Below are 19,934 nucleotides of genomic sequence, written 5' to 3' on the forward strand. Positions count from 1 at the left end.
CTGAAAGTACATTGTTTGCTGTTTGCTCTTAGCAGAACCTGAGACATCATTTCCCTGCACCACAGCCAGGGGCCCAGTGAGGCAAAGGGCTTTTATACACCCTGACTGCCACATGCAAGGTCTCTGGTGCTACTCCTAGGCCACAGGTGGCTATCCTCTGGAATTGTCTCCAATCTAAAAGAAGTCTACTCACTGACACAAGGTGGAGGGTGGGGAGTGCAGGGCTGGGTGTGAGGAAGTGGGGATTCAGAGATTCTCAGGGTTTCTGTCTGTGCTCTCTGCCAAGCCCCCATGCACAGGGATCAGCATGGGATAGGTCTGAGACAGGTCAGAGCAGGACTGGTCATGGACTCAGGCTGAGGTCATGGACTTGAACTGAGAACCAGTGCAAGCTTGCTCCAGTTTGCCCTGTCCTTGGGGCCTCTTTTGGATGATGAAGCCCACTGAGAACCCATGATGGGGGGATGAGCAGCAGTTTGCAGGGGCATGCCTGGAGAAGTGACTGAGCTGCCTCCCCCTCTTTTCCCACTGCTCAGACAGTCCTGGGTACTCCTCCCAGCCTGCTTGTCCTTATGTCCCTGTCCTGGACAGCCACGGGACCTGCCTATCCTGCGGGCTCCCTCTCCAACACTATGGATAGTCCTCAGACTCTGGACCCTTCCATCACCACACAGCCCCTGTGCCCTCCCTCAAACAGTTGGGGAGGGCTGCCAGTTACCTCCTAGAGGATGGCTGGAAGGACAAGCGTTTGCTTTTATTTATTCATTGTTTTTCCTACTAAGAAGATGACTGAAATGTGTATTTCTCGTTTAGCCAACAGACTCACCCAAGAATGGTACTATTGAGTAAAGTCATTTCTCCAAGTTCAAGGAAGCCTTATAGAGTGTTATCATATCCATAGAAGGATGGAAATCTTCTAAGAGGATCAAGGGCAGCCTCTGGGCTCCTGCCCTCTCCCGAGGTTAGCACTGCAGGAAATTGATTGGAAAAGCATCAGGAACAACTTACTGCTGGGTTGGGGTGTGAGTTTGCTGGCCCTGGGCCGGCAGACAAGGGTGTGGGTGGGTATTGGGGGTGGTGGTGCCTGGGGACACATTTCTGTAACTGACACCTGCTGCTTCAATAAGGCCCAGGATGTGGAAATGCTGGTGAGTGAGAGTCATGATGGAGTCCAGCCTCGTGGGGATGCAGTCCTGTTAGACTGCAAAGGGTGGAGGCGATGGCTCCATTTCTGGGCTCCATACCTGGAGTTCCACGGGTCTCTCAGGAGAAGTATCTGGCCGTGGATGAGGCAAATGGGACCCCACCTCATCTGAACCCCCACTGCATCTCCAGTGCCAGTGGGCACACAGTAGGGGCTCTATCAACTTGTTATGCCCCCCTTCTCCTTGTGTCCATCAGAACTCAAGATTTCAGGTCCTTTCCCAGGCCCGCCTCCCCAGCCTCAGTCAGCACCTGCCCACTCCAGATCCAAGTGCCAGGACTTGAAGATCAAAGCTCTCCGTCCTCTGTTCTGTATCATAGCTCCTGGGGAGCTCTAAATCTAATCCAGCCCTGCCACCCCCTCAAGGCCCAGTGCGGCACCACAGAAATGTCAGCCCTGGTAAATGGCTCAGGGGAACAGGGCCTTTCAGGTGACTCACAGAGCACTGGGCACAGTGTGGGACCTGGGGAGGAGGGGGCCCACAGAGGCCAGGGACATCTCCAAACCCCTGGCTTCCTCTGGACCAACAGAGTCATCTGACCTCAAAGTAAAATCTCTTTCTTGGCCTGCAAAACCGTGGCCAACACTCTCCTGTGTCTCCATGGCATGACGGCCCCTCCATGACTAGTACCACCTCACACCCGCAGAGCACTGGGCCCTGCCTGGGGTGAAATGCCAGTTGCTTGAGTCCTAAAGTGCTGCCAGACTGGGCTACAAAGCTCTGACCCCCTACCCTTAGCTCTAACTTGAATTCTAAACATTTGAGTTTATTGGAGGCAACTGGGATTACTCCACAGTCCACACAGCTTCCTACAATCCAAATCTCTCCAACTGTGAGTTTCTCCACCTGACCAGGACCGATAAAGACCCATTTGTTCTGGAACATAATTGTTAAGTTGCAACCACAACTTAGCCCAGGCCAGACCTGCAGGGAGTTTGCCACATCTGCCCATCGACAAACCTGCCCAGCTGTAAAGCTTCGGACAGCACCTGCAGCCATGCAGGCCAACCACACACCTGCCCACCCCATCCCTTGCCCTAGGATCCCAAGACCCCCACTGCTCATCTCCACCTTGAGGGAACACATCAGTCTGGAGGTCAGCAACTGTGCCTGAGAAAAGTTGCCAAATCATCTAGAACATGGAGGGTAGCCCTGTGATTCAGGATCAGATGTCAGGGGCTAGTGCAAGGCCAGGGTCCAAGGGTGGTTTCAGTCCAGAGAAAGCCCACAATCCAGTCACCAGAGACTGTAAGCTCTTGTCCCTTGGGTGCACCACCTGGGTGCTCAGAGGTCCCAAGGCTCTGGAGTGTATGAGGTGCATAGCTGGATGGCGCTGCTGGGACACTCTGGCAAGGAGACCCTCCACTTCCCTGCCCCAGCCTCCTCTTCCCTGCCCCAGACCTCCTCCAGGCATGAGGTCTCCTGACCTTGAGCTCCTGACAAAGCCTGAGGTACCTGACAGTGGGGGTGGGGAGCATAGACGTATGTCCTTTTCACCTCAGTGCCACGTTCAGCACAGCATGGTACATGTGAGACTGGCCTGCCACTAGCTTGTTGTGTGACCTGGGACAGGTACTTCAGTCTCTCAGCCACAGAGTCCGCAAAGGTGGGGTGAACTCCAGCCCCAGAGGCCAGATCAGAACTCAGGTCCACGGTTTTTATCCAGCGAAAGGACCTCAGGGCATCTGGCTCAACTCTGGGGAAACTGAGGTCAGAAGGGTTGACAGGGAGCTTCTGGTACCTCTTCTGGTAAACAGGGAAGTTGGAAGGGGCACTGGTGGGAAGCTGGCTGTACTAAACCAAGTGACTGCCCTCATCACCCTGACAGCCTTAACCCTTGGTCAAAGTCACCAAACAGCTACCCATGAAGAGACTGCAGTGACGGCCACCTGAGTTTTCCATGTGCCCTTGTTCTACCGTCAGGTAGACTCATATCTGGACAGTGGGGCTAGGGAGCCTGCTGGGGGCTGGAACCAGGTGGGAGGGCCATGTGGGTACTGCACCTGAGACTCAGGCAGGCCTGAGCCCACAGCTCCCCAGAAGCCTGCTGGCATTGCTGCTTCAGGATCTCAAGATGCTGGCCTGCTGGATTCCTGGAGCCCTGGGCTGGATACCTGGGCCCAAGAAGCTTGGTCTTGACTCCCAATTGGCTGGGACTGGCCCTGGGTACTCCCTTTCCCAAGGAGGCCAAGAAATAGGTCCAAACAATATTCTTCCGTAGGAGACAACTATAGCAGGCCGGGCCCTGAGGAAATGCTCTAGACTGGGAGGAAGAGCAGGGCTTGGTGGCCTGAGAAGATTCATTCACACATCAAGACCTCTCAAGACAATGGGATAGCCCCTCCTTTCACATGGGCCTCCCAAGGACCACCTCTACTCTCTACCACCCTCCGTGTCCTCTGTACTCTCTCCCACTACAGAAATCAGTAGCATTGAGGCTGGAACCAGAAATCTAAGAAATACGCTAAGGCAGCAGGGCAGCCCTCTCTCATATGCTGGGCCTTGAGAACCAGCAGCCCCACAGCAGTCTCTGTCACAGTCATAGTATGGCCACATCCTTTGACTTGGCATTCATACCCAGAGAGACCACACATAAGGAGGGAAGCTTCATCCATGGAAATGGCCAATCTGTCAGTCTGTGAGATGAAATGATGGGCATGAAACTAACAGGGCAACGTGGAAGGGCATCCCTGAAAGGTCCAGTATGGCGTGGCTGCCAGGATAACCCCATGTGGGCCAGGGACTGGAAGGGAATTGGGATGATGACTTGGGAGGTGGGATGGCAGATGAGCTTTTCCCTATGGCTTGATCTGAAGAGAGGGGCACAGTGCCCAGGTCAGCGGCCATCACGTGGTCCCCGTGCTTATAGAAAATTTCCATCCTCAGTGTCCCTGGCTAAATGAGATTCTCTGTGGTGTCCTTGTGTCAACTGATTCCACAAGTTGGCTGTTCGGCCAAGATGCTGAACATCTTGATTAGCTTACAATGAGGCAGGTTCCCTCAAAGGCCCACAGCATTCCTGCCTGGGCAAGAGCCAAGGTGCCTCTTTCAGCACAGACAGCAGAAGAGGCCTGTCTGCTCCTCCCGGACAGGCAGAACAGCTCACAGCATGGCCTGAGAGGGTGCAAGTGCTGTCCACACATCCTCAGTTAACCTCACACGTTAATGCCCTGTGCATGGAGTCACAGATAGGGGGCTACCCATTTGGCCTGCACCACGCCAGCCCCAAATGGACAGGACTGGCCCTGGTAATCAGATGTGCTATGTTCTGGAGACTTTACTCCTGGTTCCTGGCTGCCTGCATATGTATGTGCTTGGTAAGCTGGGTCTGCATAATTGAAGTGGAGGGCAGGGGCTGCAGGCACCACACTGTGCTGTCCCAGGCTTCTGAGCCCGCTGCTGGTTTGTGCTGAAGGCACATGGCTGGTGTCCCTGGACCCAGCGGCTCCTGCCGTGGATCCTCCCACTTTGTTACATGGGCTTCACAAGAAATGTGATGCGTGGGTCCCTCTCTGGCCTGTTTTCTTATCTGTGAAGTAGGGGTGAGGCAGAAATGGAAAGACCCCAGCCCAAGACCAGCTTGCCCTGACACCATTAAGACCAGGCAGATGCAGAGTCGGGAAAACCTGTTGCTGCTGAGAACACCCTGATGCGTGCCCTGTTCCTCAGAGGGGTGGGGAGGCCAGACACTCATGGCATGCAGTCTGCAGAGCAAGTCAAAACAGGGGCAGCCCCCAAGATGGGAGCTGGGGGTGATGAGCAGCCATCTCACCTACTGTCAGTGCTGGAAGCTCCCCAGCCCCAAGGCCCAGAGAGGGCAGGGACTTCCTCAGGACCACACAGGAGGTAAGCTAGACAGAATTGTTGAGCCTGGCCCCACAGAAACCCCCTCTCTGGGTCCTCTAAAGGGCTGCTGGACACAGGCCTCACTCTTGGAAACAGTTGACCAATTTCCCTTCTGTGAGGGGACCCTGCACCATGACTGCCAGGAAAAATGCAACTTCAAAAGTTATTTTTCACTGTGGTTTAAGAAAAGAGCAGCGAAACAGTTTCATGTTGGTGCTGCTGATGTTATCTCTGGCCCAGACCTGCTCTTTCAACCTGAGAGATGATTAATTAAAATCTTTCTCCCTTTTTTTGGTCAACCTCAAGGGAAGATCAGCACGAACTTCCCAGGCCCTTCCGTTAACATACCACCTGGAAGTTCAGCACTTCCTTCAAAAGCCTGCAGTTCTTGTGTAGGTGGAGAAAAACCTTTTAAAAAGTTATTTTCATTTTTATTGCAATATTGTACAAATGAAGTGCACAAATCTTAAGTATATCGTTCAGTGAGTTTTTATATTTATACCTATATAAATAACTGGCACCCAGGGAAACACATACACCATTTTCCACTACCACCAAAGCCTTCCTTGTACTTCCCTGCTCCTAATCAGTATCCTCCCTCCAAGTATAGCCACTATTCCAACCTCTGCCACCATAAATTAGTTTTGCCCATTCTTGAACTTCATTTAGAACAGAAGCATGTACTATACCCTTTTATGATTGACTTCTTTCATTCAACGCTGTGTCTGTGTAATTCTCTAGTTATTGCCCATCATTGTAACGTTATTTTTCACTGCTGTATAATATCCCATTATAAAAATATCCTAAAATTTATTTCCCTATTCTGGCCAGGTGCAGTGGCTCATGCCTGTAATCCCAGTACTTTGGGAGGCTGAGGAAGGAGGACTGCCTGAGGCCAGGAGTTTGAGACCAGTTGGTCAACACAGCAAGACCTCATCTCCACAAAAAAATAAAACAATTAGCTGGACCTGGTGGCGCAGGCCTGTAGTCCTGGCTACGTGGAAGGCTGAGGCAGGAGGACTGCTTTAGCCCGGCAGTTCAAGGCTAAGGTGAGCTGTGATTATGCCACTGCACTCTAGCCTGAGCAACCGAGTGAGAACCTGTCTCTAAAAAAAATTTTTTTAATTAAAAAAAAATTTCCTATTCTACTGCTGACAGACATTTGGGGTGTTTCCACTTTGGGGCTAATATTAATAAAGCTTCACTGAATATTCCTGCACTCATGTTTTGGTGAGCATATGTTTACCTTTCTTCTGGAAATGCTGGGAATGACATGGAATTGCTAGGTCATAGGACATACATATTTTAGCTTTAACTAAATACTAGCTTTAGCTGCTGGCAAATATTTAATATTTTCCCAAGGAAAAGTCTTTCATTGGCCGGGCACAGTGGCTCATGCCTGTAATCCCAGCACTTTGGGAGGCCGAGGCAGGCGGATCACAAGGTCAGGAGATCGAGACCATCCTGGCTAACACGGTGAAACCCTGTCTCTACTAAAGATAGAAAAAAATTAGCCGGGCATGGTGGCACGTGCCTGTAGTCCCCAGCTGCTTGGGAGGCTGAGGCAGGAGAATCGCTTGAACCCAGGAGATGAAGCTTGCAGTGAGCCGAGAAAGCACCACTGCATTCCAGCCTGGGTGACAGAGCGAGACTCCATCTCAAAAAAAAAAAAAAAGTCTTTCATGAACAATGTTGCTGTTGGTTTTCCTGCCTTTTGTAGACACTGCTTATCCACCAGACACTGGAACTCTCTTCTTCTTTCATATGATCTGAGCCTGCTTCCCAAATGCTCCCATCATTACCAGAAATTCTTCTCTGCGTTGTTTACTCCTGCATCTCCTTTTTGGGAGAGGTAGCTCACAAAGGGCCCAGTTTGATGTGGCTGTGGATGGTGTCTTGCCAGCACACTGTGGAGTGCAGCCCTTATCTACAAGGTCTCAGAGCCTCTGGGAGGCTCCAGGTAAACTGTAATGTTTTGCTATCCTATGTGGAGAAACCAAGTGGAGAGACCTGGGTACTGTCCTGGGTTCCTCTTGAGGTCTCGGTCCCTTAGTCAGTCCCCTGCCATGTCCTGGTACATTCATCTTCCCAGCCCCTTTCCAACCTGCCCACTTCTCTTTGTCTTTATGGCTTTGCCCTGACCCAGTCCACCTCACTAATGCAGACAATCACCCCAAATACCCACAGGCCTTGTCTCTAGACCCTTCCTGCTTCTCTCCCCACAGCAGCCACCCATTAATTCATTACATAAATATGTACTGAGCACCTACAAAGTGTCAGGAACTGTGCCAGGCTCTGAAAGGAAACCAACCCTTGAGGAGCTTACACTTTAGGGGTTAGTCTGGCTGTGTGTCATAAGGGTTACCTGCCAGCTCAGCATGAACTCCAAGCCCTTTGGTCTGACCTAAGACCCTCCCTTACTGCCCTGGCCCCGTCAGCCCCTGCAGATACCTCTAGCCTCATTGCTCACCATCCATCTCCTTCATATCAGCCCTGGACCCCAGTAACACGAACCAGCCACAGCACTCCCACCATCACCTGCTACCCCTGCCTGGAATGCACCCCAGCCAAATGGTTGACATCTGTCTCCACAATGGGGTAAGACTAATGTCCAGTGGGAGGTGGAGAGGTCCTGCACTGGGGCCTCCTCTTCCTCAACACCTACTCTGAGGCTTGCCTGCCCACCTCTTACGCCACAGGGGTGGACTGTTATCTGTTCCTCAGGGGACTGTGAGGGTCTCTGCTCTGAACTACTGCTTTATCCCCCAGCTCGGAGGAGGGCCCCTCATGGCATCAAGTGCCAGCAGTGACTATGTTCCAGAGTCTGATGAAAGTGAGCCTCTTTTCACCTTTGAATAAAAGAAATGCACACAGCTTTTACAGAAGTCCGGATGGAAAGGCAACATCCAATTTTCCAAAGTTTAGAAAATGTTCTTGGGACCAAGATCAGCAACAGGCTATAAGCAGGTACTAAGTACACAGCCAGGGCTGTTGTTTTCATTATTCTTATCAAAAATAGCATCTGTGAGGGAGCCAAGAGGAGGCCCTTGGGGCCATCCAGGAGCCAGGGGAACTGGGAGCCCAACACCAGCACAGCTGCCAGCTCTTTTTCCCACTTAACGGATTCGGGAACCATCTCAAAGGAAGCTGCAAGAGGGAGGGAAGCCCAGCTCTCTGGGAATGTGTCACACTTCCTCCAGTTAGGCCTGGGGCAGCCCCAAGCTCTCCTGATGGAGGCCCTGGCTCCTATCCAGGCCTCTTCCTCTACCAGACTGGATAAGGGTGAGGTCATGTGCTGGGGAAGGGAGGCCAGGGAAGCAGCAACTGGGTTGGAGCCAGTCAGAAACAACACAATAACAGGATAACTCATAGTCTCCCCTCTCCCCTTACACTCCAGGAAGCTGTCCCTGAGTGAACTCCATACCCCTCAGGTCCCTTCTCCCACTGGGACCTCTCTGGGGCAGATTCTGTGGGTGCCTCTTAGTCCTCAACTGAAATGGAAGCTCTCTCTCTTCTCAGGGCTAGGGGAAGCACTGTGAATCAGACAGACCCTAATGCCTCCTCTCACCAATCCAGTCCTGGACATGGGCAGCAACCAGTGTTGGAACCCAGGTGGAAATAAGAGGAAGCTGCCAGAGCCTCGAGCCATACCCTGGGCCATGGTCACACCAAAGGTTCTTGTGCCTATGGGGCTGAGGGACAGAGATATGCAGCCTTGGGCTCTGAGATCAAACAAAAATGGGTGTGGGCCTGGGTCCCCAAGTTACAATGAACCCCCCTGTTAGGAAGGTGCATCTGACCTTAGACTCTGTCAGGCTGAAGGACCAGGTCCCCAAGTTACAATGAACCCCCCTGTTAGGAAGGAGCATCTGACCTTAGACTCTGTCAGGCTGAAGGACCAGGAGTCACAAGCAGACAGACAGACACAGCAGGACCATGACAGGGGCAGACAAACAGATAGGCATAGCTCAGGCTCCTGGCAGTGATGAGTAAACGGACAGACACTGATAGACAGTTAGACTCAGCGAGAGCCTGGAAAGGACAGATGGAGAGACAAGAGGGAACGCTGGCAGTGAAAGACTGACAGACATAGAGGAGATGGCGGACTTGGCAAGAGCCCCTGGCAGGGACAGACAGAGACGCAGTTGCAAGCTGTGGTCAGGTTAAAATGTGGCCATTCTGTCTCTGAGCTCAGCCCCTGACTGCAGATCCCGATTCTCTTGGAGGTTCCTCCTCTTGGCACTGTGATCAGAGACTTTGTGGGACTCTTGGGACCCATTTCTCCAGGACTACAATGCCCTCAACCCCACAAGTCCCAGGAAGGTAGTAGGCTGTGGCCCTCACTGTCCCTGGAGTCAGACTCAAGAATCAATCCATTCTCCTGGTTTTTTCCTCCCCTTCCTGGCCTGTGGGGCAGAGAAAGCCTCCTCGACATCTCTCCTGGGGCCACCTACTCCCAGCATGGTGGCTGTGCTTGTCGTGGAAAAGGTCTTTTTAGGAACCACTATGAGTCCGGACTCTGTTGGCACAGGGGGCGGTGCCCAGAAGAGGCTATAGTCCGGCATTTGCACGACTATCCGAGGATGTTGAGCTCCACCTGGCCGCCTTCTCTTCTCACCACCCCTCATGACCTCCAGGCCCCAGAGGCCTGAGGGCCTAAAAGGTTTTGACCCAGGGGAGCAATTCCAGGCCAGGTGAGGATGGGGTGATTAGTCCCCTTCATAGCTGCAGAGACTGAAGCTGACTTGAACACACTCTGCTCTGAGGCTGTAGGGTCCAAGAACCCCCCTGGGGTGAGCTGAGGTTTTTCTACTTTCAGGGGACCGTTGTGCTGAAAGCATGACGAGGCTGCCTGCCTGAGGTTGGGTTCCCTGGGAAGCAGACTCTGAGACAGAAACTGGCATGCAGGACTGCTCATGGAAGGGAAGGGAAGGAAGCAGGATTGAACAGAGGGAGAATTTGGACAAAATACAGTCACAACAGAAGTCTCAGCTGATCCTAAGGAGACTTCTACAGCTGGGATGGCCCTTCAGACTCTTCCTATGTTGGGGCAAGGAGGTCAAGCCTTTATGCCTTCATTTTGATCAGTAATTGGATGTAAGCTGCCCCTGGAAGGAAGCATGACCTTAGGCACGGAAATTTTCTTCAGCAGGGGCAATCAGACCTTGACTCCTGAAGGGTGTTCAGGGCAGCATATCATAGCTTCCACCATAGTCCATCCCTTGAGCTTTCTGGATCCACTTCTTCATATAAACACTTCCCACTGGTTCTGGGAGCAGCTCCTCCAGGATTCCAGTGGTGTGCTATCAATAACTGGTTCTCCAAAAAAAAAAAAAAGAGAAAAAAAAACTATCATGGTATAAATACTCCCACCATCGGTGCACTACCAACGGTTTAAAAACAGACTGGCAACAACTTTAGCAATGGGATCTCACGAGCAAGTAGCCAGCTCTAGCACACCAATGGTTCCAGCAGGCTTCTACTTCTGGGAGACTTAGAAGAGGAAGGTTCACAATGAACTACAGTCCCTGCTGTTGCAGTTGATCTCAGGGCCACAAATGACACTCATCATCTCCTCCTCTACTATCCATTCCAGATTCCCCCTCACTCTCAGTTAGCACCTTTGCTCATCCTGCTGGCTCACCTGGTAGCATGACCCAATCCTTCATCTCTAAGAGGTCTGATTCCATCTCAGGCTGGGATTGTTGCACTTGTCCATTTACTGTCAAAATTGGGAAAGGGAGTAATAAAGAGGTATCCAACTGGATCACCGGGGTGCTACATGTATGCCTCCCTGCCTCCACTGTGTAGTCTTACCTCCTCCTGATGATCAGGCTCAGGTACCCCTGCCAAGATGGTACCTCCTTTTCTTTCCTGCTTGTCCCTAGACACAAGAAGGCTGAAGTGCCCTGGCAGCATCCCTAGCTGATAGTCTAATGGGACTTTTGCTGGAAATGTTCCCTCCTGGGGAACCAGGATCTCCAAACCCACAGAGCCCAGATTTGCAGGGATGGGAGGCATATATTTTCCAAGTGGGCCACTGGGAATGATAGTAAAGGGGGCCACTCCTGTTTTTATCTCTTGGTTCTGAAACTCTTGTATTATACCTATTGGAACAGAGCTCCATATAAGGTCTTTGATTTATAGTGAGAACTGCATCCTGAAGAATAGTTCATTATCCTGTAAAGTAGCACCCCAAGCCGGTGCTTCAACTATGCCATCAACAGGCTGTTGCCCAACACTCTACCAAACTGACAACACCTGAGTGGTGCAATATGTGATATGACTAGCACATCCTATGGTCATGGACCTGTGCTTCCACTTTCTTTGATATAAAGTAGATCCCTCAGTCTGATATGCTATGTGAGATCCCATACCAGGGGAATAAAAACTCTGAAGGCCCTTGGATAGTGATGTTGGCTGTGGCCCTGCAGCCAGGAAAGGCAACCTCATGCTTAAATTGTGTCTTTATTCTTGTCAAAATGAATCACTGGCCCTTCAGGGGTATAAGAGGGCTAATGTAGTCACCTAGCAGTGGGGTGGTCTCTTGATCTCCCTGAGGCCGAGTATTGTATCTGAACTTATTTGGGAATCAAGTTTGAGCTTTTACATCCTCCATCAGCTGGACACAAGGGATCACCCATGCAGCCATAGATGTGAGCTGGGGGAAGGTTTTGGTGTCCTGGAGTTGGATGGTACAGGGTTCTGGGTCACTTGCACCTGCAGCTTATTTGTGTCTTCCAATCCTGCTCATTGGTTAGAGTTGTACCACTTCCATCTTATGATGGATTGCTGTTGAGCCCACCTGACCTTATGGCTTAGTAGGTCTCACAAAAACCAATTCATCATGGTGGTTCTTGCTGCATGGTCACTGAGTCAGGCCCTCCAGGCCTACCAAGGCTCAGAAGCATGGCACAGCTGTTTTTCAAAAGGTATGTAATTCTCCAGTGCAGATGGTATGGCCTTGTTCCAGAACCCTAGGGACAGTGTATTTTCCCAGTACAGATACCTTTAAAACCACAGTATCTGATGACTCATATGGCCCACATGGCAGGGCTACATGTACTACAGCCAAAGAGCCCTTTCCTGCCTGGGGCCCCACTCAAAGATGGCAGGCTTTTGTGTCACTGCCAGGTATATGGTTCAGAATAATATTCCCAAGTGTGTAATAGGTTTCATCCATATAGGTTGCATCCATAACCCTAAGAGGCCTGCCAAACATTCCGCTTCCTTCTTCATGGTGGGAAGTACAAGACATAGTGATTTGTCCTATACTTTGGTGGGAATTTTCTGCACGCTCCAGACTACTGGATTCCTAAAAACTTCACTGATGTGGCAGGCTGTGAATATTCATAGGGTTTATCTTCTGGAGTGCATGTGTCTTGCCATGGCCATCAATCTTGTCTGACTGGCATAATATTATCAATAGAGTAGACCAGTGTGATGTTCTGCAGGATGCCCAAGTGGTTCAGACTTCTTGGAACTATGTTATGACAGAGGGCAGGAGAGTTAACTTTGCCTTGGAAATTTGAACTGTTGTTTGTCCCAAGTGAATGCAAACAATTTCTAACAGGGGTGGAAAAGAATGGATTCACCAAATCAGCAGCTACACACTGTATGCCTGAGCCCATGTTAATCTGTTGTAGTGAAGACACATTTGGCAAGCACAGTGGCTGCAAATGGGGCTACTGTTGAATTGGTAGTAGCCTGCTGTCATCTTTCAGGATTTAACTGGGTTTTGCTGGTAAATTAAATGAAGATATGACGGACTCCCTTTTAGGTCTATAATGGTGGCAATAATTTCTGCCATTAACCCTGGAATGTGATATTGTTCTTGATTTACTATTTTGCCTGGAATGGGAAGGTTTTGAAGGCTTCCACTTGGCTTTCTTCACTATGATCACTCTCACCATGCAGGCCAAGGACCCAATGTAGGGGCTGTGCTAATTATCAAGTGTGTTGATCTGATTATATCACTGTGGGTCTGTGGACCCAGAGGACCTGCTATTAGCAGAACTCAGGCCAGGAATCTATCACCTGGCCCACATATACCCCTCATTCTAATGAGAGGATTTTGGTGCCACTTCAGGTACCTAGGTAACAATGTCAATTCTAATCCCGGGTTCAATAGTCTTTCACATGTTAGGATATTCTCTTTCCTAGTATGTAGCTATCCAAGTTAAGTGCCCACAGGTCCCCCTGGGAAAGGGCTGGGGAAATCATTATCATGCACACTTGCTGTGGTGGTGTGGGACTCTTCCTTCTGGGAGATCTGGCATCTTCTTCAATCAGTAGGTTCTAAGTCTGAAAACTGGTTCAGATCTGGAAACTCGGCAGGTTACTTTTTATTGGGGTGACTGGACTCATTATCCATGATTGATTTCTTTTTCTTGCACAGAATAACCCGCAGCACTGTTGGCTGGCCATCTATTGTGACCCTCCAGATGCTATGTTTTATTAACCATGTCCATAACTCCCCGGGAGCCAGGCCCTCTTAACAGCCATTCCAATCTTGCCACCCAGACAACTGGGCCAAGTGCTATGACTTGGCCTCTATTATCTCAGAGTCCTATCACCCCTACTGCTATCAGTGAGCCCAGTTCTGTGACATTTCCTATCAATGCTGGCCTATTTTAGCCACCATTTTAGTTCTTGGTGATACTGGTGCCCTTCTTTCCAATACATTTCTTGTTTTGGTATCTTCTTGGCCCTCAGGCGAGTATTCTGAATTTGCTTAGTATATTTATTCCTGCACACCCACGTCCTTCATAGTCTGCCATAGCCATTCTGGCTACCCTCACTTAATATGGGCCATCCTCTTTCCATGCTTCTAGGAGCCATCCAAACGATGTATTTGCACCATCTCTTGGGGCCTTGCCACAGTTTTAAATACTTTATCCTGGAAGAATGTTCCCATATCCATAAACTCTTTTGTTCAAATTTCTGTTCCACCCCCTTGGTCCAGAATCCAGTCCTGTGCATACTCTCCAAGCTCCTGCTAGTACTCTCTGGATATGACCAGAATTTCCTTTGAGGTATAGTCCTTTTCTACACTAGCAAGTTCAGCATGTCTGGCCAGGTTAGGTTTTGACTTAACCCTAGTTATTGGCCTAGCACAAAGAGGTAACATGGAATGAGAGCATGTCTTGCAGGACAGAAGCCTCCGCATTTTCTTTTTAAAGTAAGAAGCAAGTTCTAGCTTTTAACAGAGATGAGTAGGTCACTTCTGCAGGTCCAGAGTGTTTAGTGAAATCTGAGGATTCAAGATATTCAGGTGCAACAGAGGTCCTCATCCCACGTGTCAGGGTCTCATTCTTCCCCAACCAGGGCTCTGCCCTTGGCATAGAAGACCTGCCTTGGTTGGGAATATAACCTTCTTTGAAGCTTAACTACTTTGACAGAAGTCTGGGTCTGATTCTCTGCTTTTTCTTCTTTTCTATAGATGCACCAAAGAGGCCTACGGCTTTCATGCTTATGTTTTCATTGCCAATTAATCACTCTAAGCTCTCCATTTTCTTTTACTGAAAGTTAGTCAAGCTTAGCAATTCCATTGTCCTTGCAGTGGCTAATTCCCCCATATTTCTCAAACACCTGAGGCACTGCACCATCTAATGCATTCTCTTCCAACATAGGTAAAAGTTTTAACAATTATTACCATGGGCCAAAAGCTGTCTGCTTCACCTGCCACCTGTGATGGGAGTCCTCATTGGCAGCCAACAGTGGATGATCCAGCTCCAAAATCATATCTTAGCATCTCATTTTTTTTCTGTCACTCCTAAAGCCAGATGCCATAGATTAGGTTCTATAGGAAACAGACTGAGTAGGATATGAGCATGTAGGACCTTTATTAGGAAAAGATCTTGGGGTCAACATCAGTGGAAATGAGGACTGAAACAGGACTAGGCAAAAGGAGAAGTGGAGCTACTATGCAATTCCAGCCGAGGTTCCAGCTGAGACCAGGAGTGCTCATCTGTGATGATCCTTCAGAGTTTTCCCAAGAAGGAGAGGGAGCCAAGCCTTTATACCTTCATATTTATCAGTTGGTAGACGTGGGCTCCCTACAGAAGTAGGTGTGACCTTACACAAGGCAATTATTTTTTAGCAGTAGTCCAAAATAGGGCTGACAGCTGGGGCTGTCTTCTGGCAGCTCTCCCACCAGCTGGTGAAATAAATCTTTCATTCATAAAGGGGATGGGGCGGGGGGGTCTGAGCTGTGTATCACAGCATCCACAAGACCACCTTAAAAAGCCTGTACAAATCTTGTCCCTGGGCAGATGGGTCAGAGCCTGATGCTTACAAACCACGCTTCCCCCCACAACCCTGGCAACTGGGATTCTGTTGCTTTCCTATTGTGACACATAAGCCCAGGGAAGAGCCTCACTCTGCCATTCTCAGGTACTCAACTCCTCAGGAGAAATGGCTACAGGGTCCCTCTCCCCATCTAATATTGAGTACTCACTGTATCTCAGCCACCAGGTATCAGAGACACCTGTCAGGCAGCTTTTGTCCCTAGCAGTAGTGAGCAGAATCAGTATCATCTGGGTTGGGGCGGCTATAGTTTCTTGGTCAGTCTATGAAAAGAGGAGGAGTCGTTTGCCAGGTGGCAAAGGGGCAGAGAAAAACATGCTTGTGATGGGATGCCTTAAAGAAAGCCCTTCAACCAGGCCAGGTGATCTGGTAAGAGGTGTGGTGGGGATAGGCTGAAGCTAGATCAAAGAAATCTGGACCTAGTAGCTCGCATTTAGGATGGCTCCATAATCGTGGAGTTTCTCCCCAAAGAGGGGCATGCAGAAACATGTCTGGGAACACCACTAGTCTGAAGTGTTGTTTGTAGGGTGGCAGGTTAAGAAAAGGTAGGGACCCTTGTTGGAGGGTGCAGACCTTGATTTGGCCTTTAGACCGCAAGTTTGAGACCTGTAGGGTAGCCAAAGAGAGAAGTACCAAGCCCCAAGGAACTTGGAAACCTAGAAGATGGGCAGAGGAGGAGGCAGCTGTGTAAGAGGCTTGTAAGAACTGGTCACAGAGGAGAAAGAGAAACAGGAGCGGTGGCATCAAAGAAGCCATGAAAAACATAGAAGTCAGAAAATACCAATCCTGGAGGAAGCAGGTTGGTGTGGGGAAGTGACATTTGTTGGCAGGGGCCTCGGGGCAGGCCTGTGGAGGATAGGGAAATGGAACAGTCCTGGCAGTTCAGGTGGCTGGGGGCTGGGACCTTTGGACAGGCTGTATATTAAGCAGGTTTCACGCGACGCCTCCCCTTCTGAGCATTCCCCATGGCCTCGCTAGTGCAGGATGGACAGGAACTGTACTCAGGTCCAGGTGACAGCTCATGCCTGGATTTTCCCAAGGGGGCGGATCCAACCAGTCCACCAGTCCGTTCTGGCAGCTTTAAGCTCCTCTCAGACAGGGTGACATCCAACTGTTTCAAGGGCTTTCCAGTGGGCTGCACTTGTTCTGTCCCACAGGATCTATAGGGAAACCCCAGCTCTGGGCAAACAGACCCCCACCCCCTGACTAAGGCCTCCAGAATCTGGGCCAGAGGCCAGGGTGGGGCAAGACACTGAGTCAGGACAGCGGTTTTCTGGCTTCCTTAGTTTGTGTCCACAGACATCCTCACTATCCTAGGAGATGACCCCAGCAGGAATGGGGAGCTGAAGCCTGAAGAGTCACTGAAATGATTTACATAATTTCCTTAATGCTCACCACGATCATGTGAGAGAGAGAACATGACCCGTTTCACAGACGCATCACTGAAGCTGTGAGCAGAGAAACGACTTGTCTGCCAGACAGTGGCAGATACAACACTTAAACCAAAGTCTCTGAGTCTCCTCAGGTGCCCTTTCATCACTCTTCCTGCTACTTGGCATCAACCAGCCGGGATGAGACACTGAAAGGGATGCCAGGTCTTTGTTATGTTGCATCCAAATGCTAGCTAGCCCCTGCCAGCCCATCCACCACACCCGGGCTGCCTCTCATATCTAGTATCTCAGCCCTCCAGACCCTCACTCCTCCTTGAGACTCTAGCCCCCAGTCCCCAGTTCCTCCCAGACTTCCCAGACTCTTCACAATCACCAGTGTGGAGGAATCCATTGTACCAATGAAGAGTCTAAAACACAGAGAAGCACAGGGAGCCAGGTGCAGAGAGCACATGGATATGACACTTGCCCTATGGCAGCTGCCCTAGTGTCCATGAATGGCAGAGAAGTGGGACAGTAGCCCTGCGTCTTAACCACCACAGTGAGGACAAGGGTGAGGCTGCTGGGGCAGTCCCAGCTCCAGGGCCTTTGGAGGGGATCTCCTCTCCTTGCTCTCCACAGGAAGCATGTGGTGCTGGCCAGCCAGCCACAGAGGTCTGGGCATCCCCAGGGAGCAGCACAGAGGTGCCCGGCAGCCCCCACCTCTCCACCCTTCAGCCCTCTTCCCACCTCTATCACGCTGGCAGCCACACTTCTTATCTCCAGGACTTGGCTTCCTGTTGCTTTTAAAGAGACCCGTGGCCTACTGGCTGGCATCCACTAGGCCAAGAGGCCTTGCCCCGTAACTCCTGGGGTTATGGCAGGCTCATGCCTTGCTCGCCACAAGGAGAGGCTCTCCTCTCCACTCAGCACTCAAGTCAGCCTGAGGACTGCTTGACAGCCCAGTGACTGGCAATGTGAGCTCTTCTTAAGAATGGATTCATTCATTCATTCATTCATTCATTCAATAAATACTTTTTGAGTACCAATTTACCATGTTATCAGGCACTGTCCTGGGCATTAGGGCCATGCGGGACAAATTGTCTGCCCTCTTGATGCTTACAAGGTAGTAAAGAAGACAGTAAAGCAGTAAACAAAAGAATGCTCAAGATAATGTCAGTGGAGATAATAAAATAAAATACAGAGTGGAATAACAGGCATTGGAGACTTCAAAAGATGGGAGGGAGTGAGGGTTGAAAAATTACCTATTGGGTACGATGTTCACTATTCAGGTGATGGCTACACTGAAAGCCCAGACTTCACCACTACATAATATATCCATGTAACAAAACCACACTTGTGCCCTTTAAACCTATTTTTAAAATAAAAATAAAATAAATAGAATATGTGATGATGGCATGGAAGATTTTAGATGGTCAATGGGAGCCTTTCTGAGAAGGTGACATTTGGCTGAGACCTGACTGACAAGAAGGAGCTGGATTTATGTTTTTAAAGGATCCCTCAGGCTACTGTGCTGGCCAAAAGTCAGTAAGGGGATCAGTGAGAAGGTTTTTATATTTGCTTCGCCAGAGTTGATGGCCTGAACTGGAGAGTGAGGGTAAAAAGGGGGAGAAGTGGTCAAAGAAGGGCTCACAAAGGAATAGAGGACAGAGGCTGGGGCACAGGAGGCTGCCTGGGTTCAGTGCTCAAGGTCTTGGCAGGTGGAGGCTTTTCAACACCTCTACCTCTGCTCCTCAGTTGGCCTAGGTACTTGGAGGCCCCTGTCAAATGCCCTGGGACAGGGCCAGAAGTATCCAGAAGGAAGAGGGAACAGACAGCAAGGGAGCCCTGGGGCCAGGTCTAGCTGGGCTCTGTTCTCACTTGCAGGGAACTCTGACTCTAATCATAAAAAGAACTGAACTTGACATGCAGCAAGTGCCCTTCAACCTGGTGCTCTTGCATCTTGAACTGACAGAACTTTGACAGGTGGACGCCACAGCAGTTGCTTGTTGACTGCCTGGCACTCAGCACCTTGACCTGGTCATAATCCAAGCTGATGCCCAGATGATGCCCACTGAAGTTGTAGCTCATTGGTCATAAGGTGTCCAAGCTGGAATCCTCCTGGTCTGTAGCAGCTTTTGAGCTCCTGGCCATGGGGAGAGCAGAGAGCAATGTTTGAACAGTGGTAGTGGTAGAGCCGAGGGAAGGCGGCTGCCAGGAGGAGAGAGAGTCAATTGTCATCAGAGGTCCACTAGTCATCTCCTGCTCACCACCAAAGAGAGCTCTCCTCTCCACTCAGCATCCAAGCCACAAAGATATCAAAGCAGAGGGCTGGGGATGCCAAGGTGAAGGGGGCAGAAATGGAAGCAAGGACAATTGAAGCATAAATGGGAATACCAGGGAAGAGTCAAGGGCCTTGTGTGAGCATTCAGTGTTGGGGCAGAAATTATCCATTAAAGTCACTCCAATCAGCAAATCTCAGTGGTGTGGGGCAGGGTGGATGTCTGTGACACATCCAGTAATATACCCCCTCACAGTTTGGTACCCGGTAGTGGGACCCCAATGGTCAGAGAGTATGAGAATTATGCCATTTTCAAACTGGGCTGCCCTGGACTCTAAGAATGAGCCCAGGAAAATGTTGAATCAGGATGATACTAGGCTTCCAATATAGAAAACATCATGGCTGAAAGGCAGGTACTCAAATGTTTTGCTTCTGCACAATTTTATAGCTTTCTTGAGAGACCATTTGGGAACTTGGCCTGTCTCTTGAACTGTTTTACAGGCTAATGAAGCCAGTGTATCTGAGATTCACATGCAAATGTCCACACTGGCAGGTGCCATGAATCAAATCTCCAGGATTTAAACAGAATAAAGATGAGATTCCTGTTCTCATATATGCCAGTTCTACAGGAGGCCTGCAAGTAGAACTTCTGGACCTAGAGATTTTGTTATCCTGAAGCTGTCAAAGATGTCTCATGTTTACCTGAGCCCTCACTCACCACCAACCAGTGTATAGAGCAGGGGTGTCCAATCTTTTGGCTTCCCCAGGCCCCAATGGAAGAAGAATTGTCTTGGGCCACACATAAAATACACTAATGATAGCTGATGAGCTTAAAAGAAAAAAGTCTCATAATATTTTAAGAAAGTTTATGAATTTGTGTTGGGCCACATTCAAAGCTGTCCTGGGCCGCATGTGGCCCACAGGCCG

At 50.0% G+C, this 19,934-nt stretch overlaps 5 annotated features.

The window, feature by feature from the left end:
• Window positions 1,606–1,715: an origin of replication, noted in NCBI's record as "GM-CSF Ori1 (primer set 17; PMID:16109380); peak of nascent strand synthesis determined by competitive PCR of size-fractionated nascent DNA". NCBI's record gives the evidence for it as "EXISTENCE:fractionation evidence [ECO:0000100][PMID:16109380]".
• Window positions 1,606–7,361: a biological region, named in NCBI's record as "origin of replication downstream of CSF2".
• Window positions 7,192–7,361: an origin of replication, noted in NCBI's record as "GM-CSF Ori2 (primer set 23; PMID:16109380); peak of nascent strand synthesis determined by competitive PCR of size-fractionated nascent DNA". NCBI's record gives the evidence for it as "EXISTENCE:fractionation evidence [ECO:0000100][PMID:16109380]".
• Window positions 9,384–9,606: a silencer, noted in NCBI's record as "fragment chr5:131423316-131423538 (GRCh37/hg19 assembly coordinates)". NCBI's record gives its function as "represses an EF-1alpha promoter that drives an FKBP-Casp9 reporter gene in an ReSE screen in HepG2 liver carcinoma cells {active_cell/tissue: HepG2}" and the evidence as "EXISTENCE:reporter gene assay evidence [ECO:0000049][PMID:32094911]".
• Window positions 15,909–17,108: an enhancer, noted in NCBI's record as "P300/CBP strongly-dependent group 1 enhancer chr5:131429841-131431040 (GRCh37/hg19 assembly coordinates)". NCBI's record gives its function as "activates an origin of replication core promoter dependent on BRD2, BRD4, P300/CBP, MED14 and CDK7 cofactors, with strong dependence on P300/CBP, by STARR-seq in HCT116 cells {active_cell/tissue: HCT116}" and the evidence as "EXISTENCE:reporter gene assay evidence [ECO:0000049][PMID:35650434]".

The sequence above is a fragment of the Homo sapiens genome, chromosome 5 (genome assembly GCF_000001405.40).
Source record: "Homo sapiens chromosome 5, GRCh38.p14 Primary Assembly".
NCBI classification, from domain to species: Eukaryota; Metazoa; Chordata; class Mammalia; order Primates; family Hominidae; genus Homo; species Homo sapiens.